The sequence below is a fragment of the Homo sapiens genome, chromosome 5 (assembly GCF_000001405.40).
Source record: "Homo sapiens chromosome 5, GRCh38.p14 Primary Assembly".
Classification (NCBI taxonomy): domain Eukaryota; kingdom Metazoa; phylum Chordata; class Mammalia; order Primates; family Hominidae; genus Homo; species Homo sapiens.
This window is the reverse complement of record NC_000005.10, coordinates 165761325-165777256: the sequence shown is the minus strand read 5'-3', so window position 1 is coordinate 165777256 and position 15932 is coordinate 165761325.

The window sequence follows — 15932 nt, the reverse complement described above, 5'->3', positions numbered from 1 at the left end:
TGAAAAAGGCCGGGCGCGGTGGCTCACGGCTGTAATCCTAGCACTTTGGGAGACCAAGGCGGGCGGATTGCCTGAGCTCAGGAGTTCAAGACTAGCCTGAGCAACACAGTGAAACCCTGTCTCCACTAAAATACAAATAATTAGCCAGGCGTGGCGTTGTGCGCCAATAGTACCAGCTACTCGCGAGGCTGAGGCAGGAGAACTGCTTGAACCTAGGAGACGGAGGTTGCAGTGAGCCGAGATCACGCTACTGCACTCCAGCCTGGGAGACAGAGAAAGACTCCGTCTCCCCCAAATCCACCAAAAAAATAAAATAAAATAAAATAAAATAAATAAAATAAAAAATAAAATAAAAAACCTGAAAGGTACCCACTTTTCTCTCACTCCATTACTTCAATAAACCCTGACAAATCCACCTCCTAAATGTCTCCTCTTTTGCCCCTCCCATTACACACTTCCTGCCATTTCCCTCACCATCTCACTTCCCACTAGCAAAATTTTTCTAACTGACTGCCCTTCCTCAGGCCTCTAAACATTCCAACCTTTGGCTTATTCCATATCAGAAATACTTTAGGCTGAGAATCTTAAGGAGAAATAAAATATTCTTTATGATCTGGCCTTGGTCTATTTTGCAGACTTATCTTCTGAGGGTTTCTATCCTTTCCCATTTTGAGGTCCAGCAATACCAAGCCCCACTCAGCCTACAATGACATCTTGCGTGTATTGTTCAGTACGCCCTTTCAGCCACCTAGAAAAGTTTCCATTGCTCATCTAAGCCCTATGTTGAGATGTTACCTTCTCATAGGCCTTTCCACTTTTAACTCCTGAGAAAGTTAATCTGTCCTCTAAGATGCCTCTGTAGCTCTGTCTGCAGTGCGCTTGTCTGTCTAGATGTCTATCATCCCTAATTGAATGAGAATCTTTTGGTCTAAGACCTATAGCATTTGGCCTCAGTTCTGAAATACCCAGCACAGTGCCTGATCTATAGAGGAAATGTGTATTAGATTGAATATACCATCTCTTTACTTGCTATTTCCTGTAACACTGGAGATAGTTTCTCAATGCTGGGCATTCCCAATGCTTAAAGATCTTTTGAAATTAAGTCCAGATGTGGGGCAGTAGGTGGCTGAGGCCCTAATATTTTGATTCTGTAGTTGCACAGAGTATGTCTCAAAGTGATTAAATCACCCCACCTCCATTATAGTATGCTCTCCAAAAACTGCTCAGAATAGTCACAAAATGGAATTTGGGTTCTTTAATGTGCCTTAGGAGAAGTAAGAGTTATTGGAATAAAGTTCTCAGTTTGAACAAGAAATTTATTCACATGGCCTAAAAAACCATGATTGATTAACTACCATGGATGATACTTTTAGAAGTCTATGTAGAAAAAGAAAAAAAAAATTGCTTTATTTTAAATGTCCAAGGGCCACCCAATTACACATAGGCAAGTCCAATGTATAAATTTCTTCCTCCCTGGATTTAATATCCATAGGTACTACAGGATAGATATTTGTTCTCATTAGGTTAATATTTTCACAGCTAATATTTGGTAAATAAAATCAATGAAACATCTATGCTAGGTTTTGTTTGTCCATGTTAAAGAGGGCTGAATGGAGTGAATCACCTAATTATATCAATCCTTTTACTTGCTATTACATGCTGGACATGAAGCTCTAATATCAATATAAGCTGCATTTGATCAACATGCAGGAGGAATGCAAAGACACTCTCTGGTTTTTGTAATGCTCTTTTCTACCTTTCGAAATTGAGTGGCTTTAAATAATCCTCCTGAAACTTCACACCTCACACCCCTTCAAAGCCCAATGCTCACACATGGTAGCATTAGAGGAAGGATTATTAAAGACCCCCATTGGAACTGTGGCCTATTCATTTTCTGTGTAAACCATGGGGTTCCTGTGCAGACAGTGATGTGCCAACACGAACCCAGACAGCTGCTGTACTAAAGCTGCTCTGAGTGCAGGTGGGGAAACAGCTTGTGATATTAACAAGACTAGATCCTTCTTGTGGCTTTCTATAGCCTTTATTTAAAATACAGAAAAATGCTTTCAAAGACTTATTTATAACTGTATCAAGCACAGATTGCACCAACATTATGCTGCAATGAGCACATGTGTTATTCATACTGATATTAAGTATTTTTCTTTTTTGAAATAGCCAAAGAGAAAAAACATGTTTCCTGACGATGGTTTCAGATAGGAGCTACTAAAATCATATCAATGAAACAAACTTGGGTGAAAATAGCTTTTTTGGAATTTAAAAAAATCATGAAAACAAACAAACAAAAAGATTCAGTGTAAACAGAGAAATTGAGACAGAAGAAATGAATTTTTTAAACAAAGGTTTTATGAATATCACAGCTGTCACACGCATTTTTTCTCCTTCATATAAAGATCATAATTAAATTAGATTTGAATGTTCCACATCACTATGGGTTTGTATTTTTTTCTAACTCCTCAATAAGCCTTAACAGAGTTCTTAATATCGAAAACTTACTAATTGTTTTCCCTAAAGTTTTACTAAGCTCCTACTATGTTCTACAGCTCTGTTAAGTATTATGACCAACATAAAGATATCCAAGCTATGTTTTTGGCCTCCAGAAATGTATACCTCTTTGGGAAGAAAGAAATGTTCGTTAAGTGTCTATGAGCATAAAAAGGGGCAAACATTTTAAAAAGCAGTATGGGCCAAGCGATGTGGGCTCTGCCACTTAGTGCACAATCTTCAGAGATTTATTTTAAATCTCTGGCCTCAGTTTACTTATCTTTAAAATGAGGATCAAACCATTATCTAACTTATAGGTTTTCATCAAGTATTAGAGGAGATAATGCAAGCAAACTGCTTTGAAACGATCTTGGCACATAATAAACATTTAGGAAATAGCTGTTACTATTCTATGGTAATTCATAGAAGGTGGGGGTTATTTGGGGATGACATTGACTAAGGAGCTACACAGAAGAAAATTTATTGCTTTCAGAGCATTGAAAATAATTATTTGATTTAGTCACTGAAGGAGTGACTCAATCACTCCTAGTGGGCATCTCAGGTCTAGGAAAAATATTGAACAAACTTTATGTAACTATGAATGAGCAAGTTGTACATTTTAGAAAGTGATACAGTCATAGGACATACAATTGAAAGGAAGGAATGAATTTGTGGAAAGATTTGATGTTAGATTGGTAAATAGATATAGAACAGGGACATAAGTAAATACAGTGAAGGACAAAATTCAAATAATTTCTTATCAAGCATTTTCACTCAATCTTTTTCACCCTATGATTAAACTTGAATAATTCTTATTAAAGTTATCATTTCATTTGACATTTCAATTACATTCACTCCCAACTCAACACCATGAGTTGTTCCACTATTTCTCCATATTCACATTGCTTTAATTCTATTGAATTTCCATAATATCCCTATTTTTCTACAAATTGACCTTTCTTTCTCTTAGGGAATGCATTTTTAGGTTTGGTTATTTCAAATACCTCAAATATCTATCTCAGCCTGAGCATATATGCATACTCTCAGGCTTAACTTTCAAGGGAACTCTGTTTTAACACTGGACATTTATTGGTTTTAAAGCCTTGGGCACTCACTTATTTTCTTCATGTATCAATTTTCCCAATTTTAGTAACATTAAAAATGCCTGCTTCGTATGCAAGTGGTGATTAAGACAGCTGGTAACAGATCAGACCCTTGAAATTACTATATAATATAAAATAATTATTATTGTTAATATTCTTCATGTTACTACTTTAAAAAAAAACCTTTACTTTAGAAAAATGCTTCTAATAAGTCTATTTCGGTCAAATATAATGGCTTAAGTATTTTTTCAAATGGACAGTTAAGCCAACTAACATTACTCTTAAAGAAAGCTCATCTTACTATTGGCAAAAATAAAACCAACATTAAACTCTGTTTTCTTACAAGTAAAGGGGAGACAATTGTTTCAAAAGTGGAAGCAAATATTTTCAAGATGGAACAATTAACTTTAAAAGCATGAGATACTACATTACAAAATAGAAACTTCTGTATGCAACCTAATTATGAACACATTATTTTTCAAGGATAAGACTGCATATAATGTTATTTTCTAGATTATATATTTTGAATTGTTAATAAAGATTAAATACAACCTCAAAATAATTTTAATAAATGTTTGTAATAATTCTGACACCCTATCTTTTGCTACATTCATCCCAGGCTATCAATAAAGTCCTTGGGGAGGAGAATTAATTTCCGTTTACAGAGATCAGCTCACTTTTTTCCAAAGAACTGGGAAGAAAGTAAATAACAAATGTTTAATATTGTGCTTGTAGATTTAGGCCTAAATATTTTTTAAGGGAAGAAGTGGAAAACTATTGTCTAAGAAGGTATTATAATAAATATCTTTGAAAAGGGAGACAAGACAGTTAAGAAAAACAAAAAGACCATCCCTCAATCCTCATTATTTTGTCTTTTACTTTTCAGCATACAAGTAACGTAATATAAAAGGTAAGAATTGTATCACACATCAAATTAATTCAGAACATGACAGGAAAGGCAGACAAGTGGATGTTTTAGAAATGAATAGAGTTCATGAAGTATTTAATAAGTATTGATCCTGATTTCACCAGGGGGTAAACTACTCCCCGCTACTAAGTTAAGCACTTTTGAGAAAGCTACATCAACTGTAAGGTCGGTAGTTCAACTAATATGCAGCCATGAGCTATTGGTTCAACACTTTCCCTCATCAAGGCAGGGCTTCTCCCACATCCTCCCGCACTGGCTATGGCTCCCATTTGAAAATTGAACAGATTAATATTTTTGAATATAGGGCATGAGGGTGGGGTCATCATGGAGAGTCTCAAAATGATGGTATGGAAATGAGCCACTAATCTGTTACTGCCATGGACAGAGAAAAAGATTATTTTCTGCAGTTGTTTTAAAATCTTCAAAAGGCCACTTCAGTCACTCCATGAAACCTGATTCCATCCTGGTTTTCCTCTTTTTTTTTTTTTTTTTTTTTTTGTTATTTTCAGTTTTATTACAACATCATAGAGACTAGAGTCTCAGCATAACTATAAGAAAGATCTTAGGTACAACACTACTTCTTTTGCTGAATTTTTAAACTGTATGCTTATATGTCAGTCTCTTTGGATGTCAATTTTCCATCTGAGCTTTGATGCTTATCAGGCTCAAAAGCTAACTGAACAGAAGGAAGTGATTTAATAGCCTGTGCTTCAAAATGTTCCATAAAAGAATTAACTAATGTATTAACAACTTTATAGTCTAACTCTTCTTTCCCTTTCTCCTTCATTCTGTGCTTCCAGATCAGCACATTGAACAGGAAACTTGAAAGCCATTTTAAAATTGAAGAGAGTAGAGATGTCCTGGGAAGAATTTTTTTCTCTTTTTTAACTGTGCCTTATGCTATGGACAATGTAACTACTGCCTGGCAGCAGTCCGCTGGGTCTTTCAAAAGACCTTTTCTTAGTTTCATCAACGTGCTTCCCAGAAGATCAGAATAATTGTACTTATACCTATGGCTTCACGCAGTTTGTAGCTACATGGGATATTTTCCTAAGATCTGATACTTTATTAAGCTGGCTGGATTTCATAGATTTAAAAAAAATATGTAAAACCTGTGCTAATATGAGAGTATAAATATGATAGAATGAGCAATTTTACCACTATTACCTTCTGATAGAGTTCAAATTTGGGTTAATTTGCATAAGGCCTCAATGCAGATTGGTCACAGTTGTAATCATCGTCTCTATTTTTTATGTGATCAAGATGAGGATAATAATAACCTGGCACTGGTCAAGAAGATGACCTAGGAAAATAGCTCCATCATCTCAATCCCCATCCAGGGCTTGCTTCACCTAAAATGAGTATCAATCACCGAAATATTTGCTTAATCTCAGATTTACTGGGGAGCTAATATAGACTCAAAAACAAATTCTGAGATGCTGTCAACCACTAACATCCTCCACGCTATACTAACCTTGTTCTTTTATTTTCGTTGTAATTTCTTTTTGAAAGCTATCACTTAGGTATGGCTTAGCTGTTAAAATAGCATAGCTCTAAGGGAACTTACATGTGTTGCACTTGTGAATGCCGTTTACTTATGTATTAACAGTAGTTTTCGTAATGATTACCATAAAAATGTTTTGAACTATAAGTTAAAAGTGTGCACATATTTAGATTTTTCTCCTAGCTCTGGTTGACAGAGGTCTCCTATCCTTACCCAGACAGGTTATTCCTTTAATGGATCAGATGAAAATTCTTATAAAATTTCAAATTATATAGAGATGAAAAACATTGAAAAAAAGTAATAGAGGCCGGGCGCAGTGGCTCACGCCTGTAATCCCAAAACTTTGGGAGGCCGAGGCGGGCAGATCACGAGGTGAGGAGATTTGAGACCATCCTGGCTAACACAGTGAAACCCCGTCTCTACTAAAAATACAAAAAGTTAGCCGGGCCTGGGGGTGGGCGCCTGTAGTCCCAGCTACTCGGGAGGCTGAGGCAGAATGGCGTGAACCCAGGAAGCGGAGCTTGCAGTGAGGCGAGATCGCGCCACTGCACTCCAGCCTGGGCGACAGAGCGAGACTCCGTCTCAAAAAACAAAGTAACAGAGGTTTAACTCAGTGGTCCCAATGCTGGCATTGTATAGCAAACAAAATATGTTTCTTAAATTTATGTACACAGTTAACGTGTTCCTACTAAAATTCCAAAATATATTTTCTAGCAATGTAACAAATAGATTTAAATATGCCCCTTGGATAATAACAAGGTAAGGTTAGCAAATACTCTTTTGAGGTAGAAGATTATTGAAAAGGCACTAACTTTATCAACCAATAATTTAAGCTGTGAAGGATTTGCATAAATATTGTCATTTCTATCTACAGAATAAAAAATTTTATATCATATAGAAAATTTAAAATATAGAAATAAACATACATGCACAAAAGATTAAATGCAACTAATGTTGCAGAACATATTTGTCAGAGAAATTACAGCTATACCTCACACCAAGTAACAAAACTTTAAACTGATTTTAAACTTTTCATGGTAATTATTAGTGAAAAATGAATAGTTGCTATAAAGAGAAAATGAGATGATTTCGGAATCCCAGCAACAGAAGCATTTTTGCGGTAACATAACAGGAAAGGGCCAATAATGTGAGGCTGTTCTTTGTAATTCTTTGTATCTCTTGGAGGGATAGGACCAAGTCATGAGTTTAAGGGTAAGTTTGAGTTGAGTTAGTAGTTCAGCTATATGTTTATGAGCTTCTGACAAGCACTTATCATAGAGAGAAGTTTCATAGCTTATGTAATAGTAGGAAGTTAAACCACTATAAACACAGTGTAATGTAAACATATTTACATGAAGTATTTTCATTTTAAGAACTGAAATTACCTTGTCTCTGTACTTACCTTGTCTCTAAGTGTCTTAAGGAGGAACTTAGTGTTAAGACACAAAAGAGTTACTAAGTATTTCAGGATGTAAAGCAGTGTTTTCCACAAAACTACCCTTGAATAATTAAAGTCATCATCTATTCAAGCCCCTTCAAAATGCTGTATATTATGGGGCATAACCTCAGTTATTATATTTTGAACCAAACACGGTGTACAAAAGACACATTGGTTTAAAACAATGTCAACAAACGAAAATCTTTGCTACATTTAGATATCTCCAAATAAAGTTGGTTAAAAAAAAGGTATTTAACACAGATTTGGTCATGATTTCCAGGGAAGTGTCACAAATTTCACAAAAATTCACAATTTTTTCACAACAGCAAGGCTAATGCTATTGTCAACCCTTTTAGGAGATAGCTGTATCAACTTATGTGTAACACATTAACTAGCTCTACTTAACCACTTAAGGATCATGAAAATTAACCTCCAGGGCAAAAACAAGTGAGCAAAAAAACAAACAACACCAGTTCATATATTTTGCAAATGAATATTTATGTCTCATTAAAAAAACTAGGAACAGTAGCATGTATAGATTTTAAAGGACATATATTTTAAATAACTTGAATAGCAGTGAAAATGAGGTGCTCAAGAAGGTACATAGGAGGCAGAAAATGTAATTTTGTAATAAAAGTCCATGATAACAAAAACATAGGTAAGATTTTTTTTGAACTATTATTTGAAATGAGGGAAGAATAATTTAATATTTTCCAATGAATGTTATATGTGATGTTATTTTTTTTTTTTTTTTTTTTTTTTTTTTTTTTTGAGACGGAGTCTCGCTCTGTCGCCCAGGCTGGAGTGCAGTGGCGGGATCTCGGCTCACTGCAAGCTCCGCCTCCCGGGTTCACGCCATTCTCCTGCCTCAACCTCCCAAGTAGCTGGGACTACAGGCGCCCGCCACTACGCCCGGCTAATTTTTTGTATTTTTAGTAGAGACGGGGTTTCACCGTTTTAGCCGGGATGGTCTCGATCTCCTGACCTCGTGATCCGCCCGCCTCGGCCTCCCAAAGTGCTGGGATTACAGGCGTGAGCCACCGCGCCCGGCCGTGATGTTATTTTTTATACTATTCCCAAGTGCATATTCATTTAATAAATTAGTATTTTAAAAGCTGTGACTACTTTAGCTACATTGCCATGAGTTTATGTACTCAACTTGCCGTACCCCGAAATTAAGCCTTAAAAATCCTATAGAAAGTTTATCTGATATTTGAAAATACTCTACTTTTCTAAAACTTGAAGTGAAAAAAAAATTCCTTATATGATTTCCAAAAGTGTTCATATGTTGATTTTGCTTATACAAACTTACATACTTATAAATATACATATATATAATATATATATATTTGAATGTGTTTTGGATGTGGGTATTATTTTTATATATATAGAATATTTTAATCTATGCATTTTTCAGAAAATTTCATCACTTAATCATATATCTGAAAAACATATCCTTTTTCTACACATATATTTGTATGTGCGTGTAGCTTTTTCTGCTATGTAAGTATTCCATAACATAGATTTACAACTATTTGTTTATTCATTAAAATGGTGATGAACAGCAGCATATTAAAATCCCACTGCAAAAAACAAAGCTATCATAAAAGACTTTGTTCCTGGCTCTTTATGTTCATGTCCAAATATTTTCTAGGCCAGTTACCAAGAATTTCACTGTTGGGCTATCAACAGTTTTAATATTAAGAGTTAACACATACTACTCTTTGAAAGGCAGCACCTCCTTTAGAAAAAGGAGAATTTACATCCAACATGCTGATACTTAATGTCATCAATCTCCGTGTGTGTGTGTGTATATATATATATGTGTGTGTATATATGTGTGTGTATATATATGTGTGTATATATATATTCCAATTTAATGGATAAGTCTCATGGTTATTTTAATTTGCATTTTTCTGACTACTTATAAGATTCCATATAGTGTATTCTACATGCATATTTTTCAGTCATGTCTATAATATGAATTTTAAAGTGTTTTTATTGTGGCAAAATGTACACAACATAGAATTCTCCATTTTCATTGTTTCTAAATATACCTTTCAGTGGCATTAAATACATTCTAATTGTTGGCAACCATCACCACAATTCATTCCCAGAACTTTTTCATCTTCTCAAGCTGAAACTCTATATCTCACTTAAATTAAGTCATACAATATTTGCCCTTTTACTTCTGGCTCATTGTACTTAGATGACTTCAAGGTTTATTAATGTCATAATATGTTTTAGAATTTTTTTGAAGTCTGAAATTTTGGATTGACTGTTTATACTTTTGCCTACCCTTTATGATATGGTAATGTGTCATCGTTAGAAATTGGAAGCCAACACAAAATAGGACTGTTTCTCATTGAAGAAATCCTCAGTATAGGAAATGGATGTCTGCTCTCTGCACTCGAACCTTGTCGAATTCAGTTGTTTCTGTATTATTAAGTAGATGATTTTAATGACAAGAATTGTATGTTTATAGTGTACAACTTTTTGATATACCTATACTTTGTGGAATGGCTAAATCAAGTTAGTTAACACATGCATTACACCTCATATACTTTTTTTCACTTGAAGTCTATTCATTTAGTAATTTTCTGGCATATAATACATTGTTATTATCTATGCTCAACATGTAATACAATATATTTCTTGAACTTATTCCTAACTGAAATTTTGTATTCTTTGACCAACATTTCCCCAGTTCTCTTCCCATCCTCAGTCCCAGGTAACCACCATTCTCTTCTCTGCTTCCGTGAGTTTGACTTTTTAAGATTCCACATATAAATGAGATCATGCAGTATTTGTCTTCTGGTGCCTGGCTTATTTCACTTAGCATAATGCCCTCCAGTTTCAACCACATTGTTGCAAATGATAGGATTTCATCATTTTTCAAGGCTGAATAGTACTACATTGTGTATATATACTACATTTTCTTTATCCATTTATCCTTTGATAGACACTTAGGCTAATTACATAGGGTGGCTACTGTGAATAATGCTGAAGCAAATATGAAAGTGTAGATATATTTTTGATACACTGACTTCATTTTCTTTGGATATATAACCAGTAGCTGGGTTGCTGGATCACATGGAAGCTCTATTTTTAATTTTTTGAGACATCTCCCTACTGATTTTTCATAGGCTGTACTAATTTACAGTCTCATCAACACTGTACAAGGGTTCCCTTTACATCTTCACCAATACTTGTCTCTTATTTTTTGATAATTGCTGTCTACATGTGTGAGGTTATCTCACGTTTTTAACTGTCTTTCTCTATTAGTGATGTTGAGTATGTTTTGTGTGTTTATTGACCATTGGCACATCTTGTCCGGAGACATGCATTAGGTCACTATCACATAGATGCTCAGGAGGCTGTGGCACAAGAATCACTTGAACCCAGGAGGCAGAGGTTGCAGTGAGCCGTGGTCGTGCCACTGCACCACTCCAGCCTGGACGATAGAGCGAGAACTCCGTCTCAAAAAATAAAAACAAAACAAAACAATAACAACAACCACCAAAACCTGAGGCTGGGCATAGACGCTCATGCCTGTAATCCCAGCACTTTGGGAGGCCAAGGTGGGTGGATCACTTGAGGCCAGGAGTTCAAGACTAGCTTGGGCAACATGACAAGATGCTGTCTCTACAAAAAATGCAAAAGTTAGCCAAGTGTGGTGGCACATACCTGTAGTCCCTGCTAGTTGGGGGACTGAGGGAGGAGGATCACTTGATCATTTGATCACTAGTGTGACAAAATGAGACCCTGTCTCAAAAAAAAAAAAGAAAAAAGAAAAAAGAAAGAAAGAAAGAAAAAGAAAAAAGAAAAAAAAGAATACCTGAGACTGGGTAATTTATTAAAAAATGAGGTTTAGGTGGCTCACAGTTCTGCTGGCTTTATAGGAGGCATGGTGCTGGCATTTGCTCGGCTTCTAGGCCTCAGGAAGCTTACAATCACGGCAGAGAAGCTTACAATCATGGCAGAGAGTGAAGGGGGAACAGGTACATCACATGGCAAAAGCAGGAACAAGCAGGAGAGACTGAGGTAGAGCAGTGCCACACTTTTAAACAAGCAGATTATGTGAAAAGTTACTATCTCGAAGAAGCCATGAAGGATCCACTCCCATGATTCAAACACCCCCCACCAGGCCCCACCTCCAGCATTGGGCATTACAATTCAACATGAGATTTGGGTGGGAACAAATACCCAAACTATTACCAAATGTCTAATGTCCAAAATTTTTTTACTTCCTTCTTGCCTGTGCTTCTGGTTTCACATCAAAGATGTCACTTTCAAGTCTAATGACAAAGTTTTTCCCTTATGTTTTCTCCTAAGATTTTTGTAGTTTTGGCTCATATTTAGATATCTGATCCATTTGAATTAATTTTTATATACGGTATAAGGCAAAGGTCCAACTTTTTTTTTTCACATGAAGCTATCTACTTTTCCCAGCACAGTTTGTTGAAAAGACTCATTTTCCCATTGAATGGTCTTGACAAACTTGTTGAAAATCATTTGATTGTATATGTGAGTTTACTTCTGAGCTATTTGATACCATTGTTCTGTGTATCTATCATTACGCCATTACCCCAGTTTTGATTCCTGTAGTTTTGTCGCAAGTTGTGAAATCAGGAGGCATGAGACTTCTACTTTTATTCTTCTTAGAAATTATTATACCTTATAAATCATATTCCATTTACATATATTAGTAGATTATACAATTCTTGGAGACTTCAACCCTCTTTTTTTTAATACAGCGACTTGAACAGAGCAGAATCTTATAAGTGGTTGTCAGGTAAGTGATTAGCCAGCTTATTAGTTTCCCTTCCAAATATAATTTTGAAACTAATTCTTTTTACACTTTATCTTAGTTTCACATCTCTATCTTCTTTGTTACATTCTCTAAAACAAATGTCTTAATGTTGTCTTTAATATTTTGCAAATATTTTCAGCTATCCTAAAAGTGTTGATTGAGCTGAGTTGCATTATGAAGTAAAATTTGTTGAAAAGTCATTGAGGCAAATAGAGTAAGGCAAATTTCTTATACCTATATTAAACATATCTGAGGGATATGATCTGAGGGATAAAATTAATAGGATATTTATAATGGTATTAGAAAACCTGAAGGCTAAAGCAAATTAGAATGTTAAGTTACAAAGTTAAACTGCCTAGCAGAGAAGAGTTAAAATATATAAGCAAAGAAGAAGATAATTTTTTTTTTGCTGAGATTCAATGAGAGTTAATGAAATAAAGGGTGCTGGAAGTCTGCTCCAAATAGTAGACTACCAGTGGCAGGAATTGCAGAGCTGGGCTGATGTCATACTGGCCACGACGCTTGTTGAGGGAGATGGGACCAGAGGAGAATTTTTGAGAAGCAGAGTTTGAAGTGGTTTCAGTAGTGCTTCTATGATAATTACATAGAATTTTGTTATCCTAACAATAAAAAACAAACGCTTCTGACACATCCTGATATAGAGAACAGTTATCAAAAAACAAAGGCATTTTGTATATTGTATCAGAAATCAAAAACATTAGTATCTAAACTGACTGTGTACTTAATATTTGAGGTGCAGTTAATGACTTTCTAAGCACTTCCTTATTAGCTAGAAAATGGTGGAGGTAGAATGGATCCCTAGTCTGCCTTATGCCAAAGACCACAAGTACTTCTGGCCTCTTTCTGTTGTCTCTGAGACATTTTCTGACAGTGCAACAGAGAATACAGCAAAGACTCTTATCCTTCATCCTTTCGCATTTTTTTTTCTATTTCTAAAGCTAATTGAAATAGATTGTTCATTTTGGTCTTCATAGTCTACACAGAGAATCAGCAGGAATAAGAATAACGAGGCAAAATAAAAATTTTATAATAAACATAATAAACCTTCTCCAAATGATTTCAGGACAATGTAGTTGAAAAACCTCATAGCAAAACAATTTTTGTCTTTAAGACCTCATAGTTTTAAAATAGAATTTAGAGCAAGATTTTATTGTCTAGAACCAAAGAGTTAAACTTTCTTATCTATTCAGTCTATTGTCAAATATTATTTTTCTCTCAATATGAAGTATATACTTTATTATTAGAAATAAACTCATCAGTAATAATTATTCTGAGGTTTCATGGTATAAAAACCTTACAGTATAAAAGTCTTACTGTTTCTGAGCCTCTACAATTTAGACACAGGTTTCTCTCTTAGGTGTATGTAACAATTATTAAGAGCTGTCAAAGTACGGGGTACTCATCTCTGTGGGAATACAAAATCTAAGAATAATTCCTGATCTTATAATTTATTTAAGAATAAGAGACATAAAGTTAACTTGCTAAATGAATGGGGTACAGGTGGTAAATGTTTTGAATATTGCGTGGAAAAAAATCGCTGGGTATCTTCTAACTGATGTCTAAAATAGTTTGGGGATTTTCTCTCTCTCTCTCTCTCTCTCTCTCTCTCTCTGTGTGTGTGTGTGTGTGTGTGTGTGTGTGTGTTTTGATGATAAATCATATATTCTGCTAAGGAGTTTAGCAGCTCCATGCTTTCAACACCTACATGTAACTGACAACCAGTACTGGGAATTCTGAACAATATATTCGTAAGAATGTGGACCTCTTTTATTGTTAAACTATGTCATTTTTATTTTTGGTTGTTTCTTCTTTAAATTGGAATTCGGAAAATATTCTTAACCTCACTTTCTTAGTATAGACCAAGTTTTGTCTATGTGCATACCACATTAAAAAAGAAGCTACATTTTTAAACAAGATAGTTTTGACTATCTTGTAGAAAATGAAAGATCTTTCTCTTCAATACTTACATTGATTTATACTAAACTTATTTTCAAGTGGATTGTCCCACCCATGTATTATATAATTATCAGTTGTCCTTTACTGAATTAAGTGTCATTATAGAATTTCTCTAGAGTCTGTTCAGGCAGTACTTCTTTTTCTGCTTCATGACAGCCAAGATTGACATAGTGGAGGCCACTCCTTGATTAAAATAAATGGTAGTCAGTGTATATAAAATCTGAATGTCAGCATGAGTACTTTTGTGGATATTTTAAAAATACATAATCTTCTCCCAAAAATCTAAAATAAAATTTATTTACTTTAGGCACACAAGTTTAGCAGATGTGGTTTTTAAAATAAGTTTCTAGCTCATATTTTCTGGATGAAAACAAGTTATTTGTGTTAGGTTTTTTTTTTTTCTAAAGGCAAAGCACATTGAGCAGGTCAGAACTAAATCCTTGAGTCTATGTGATTTATTTGGCTACATCTTTAGAGCAATCTTATCAGACCTACTCCCACTCCAGTCAATAGTGTCAGTTTAGACCAGAAAGCAACTTAGATAAAAGATTTTAAAAAAATAAATCATCGAACACTAAATAGTCCCAAGTGATTTATTATAAGGAAAGATATGCACTGACGAAAAAGTACAAGACAGAAAATAAGCAGCTTAAGAATGTTTTTAATACTATGTTCTATTATCTAAGAATGTTAAAAGCAAACACCTATTTTCTATTTTTTAGAAACAGAATTTTAGAAAGTAAATTGTTTTAAATCACTTTAGTTCTTTTTAGTGTTAGATCTTTTTTTAAAGGAAAGCTTTTATTAAACTCTAACAGAGATTATGTTTTAGATAGAAACTGAAGTTATGTAAAGCAAATTTGTAAAGAAACAATTTGTTGTCATTTGCAGGCTGATGTGAAATCTCTACAACAAATTCCTTGGAGATTTTCATCCTTGTAACAGTTTTACTCTCTCCAACAGTAGCCCTGTCTTAGCTTTTCTGTGATTTTGATAGTCACATAGACAATCCTTCCAAAATCTTGGTCCTCAGTTCCTTAACCTCCTCTTTTTGAATGATTGTTCTCTATCCCTAGTACACCATACCCAATAGCCTTTATTAATCAATTATTACATTTTCTCCATTGGAAACTGTTTCTCCATTTCTTCATTTCAAGCTTCCTACTCTCCAGACATTGCCTTCTCTTGTTCAAGGGTCCTCCTATTAATTCCCCAGATTCAACAATTACTATTTCTTCCTGTAACTTATAGCCATTGAACTTAGCACATGCCCACTGTCTTTTATTCCTTCATGTGCTAACTTCCACCCTTAGTCAGCTTAAATCTCATGCTCCACCATCCCTTGCATTTAGCCTCCACTTCAATACCTCCCCCATCCTCCCAGTTATGATTGCCTGGAAATGCCTATATCCTAGTTCAATTGAATTATCTGATTAGTCTACTCCTATAACTGGACTGATGAGAAAGATTGAAATAAACATAATCATGCTGACCTTATGTTCCTATCCAATGCCAAGCAACACAATTGGGACAAACTAAATGGTATCGCATCAACTCAAGGACATCACTTCAACACTTCTCTGCTTTCCTCTGTACCATTAATTTGATTTCTTCACCACATCATTCTGATTAGCATACAATATGCTGCAATATCTGTTTTTTTTTTA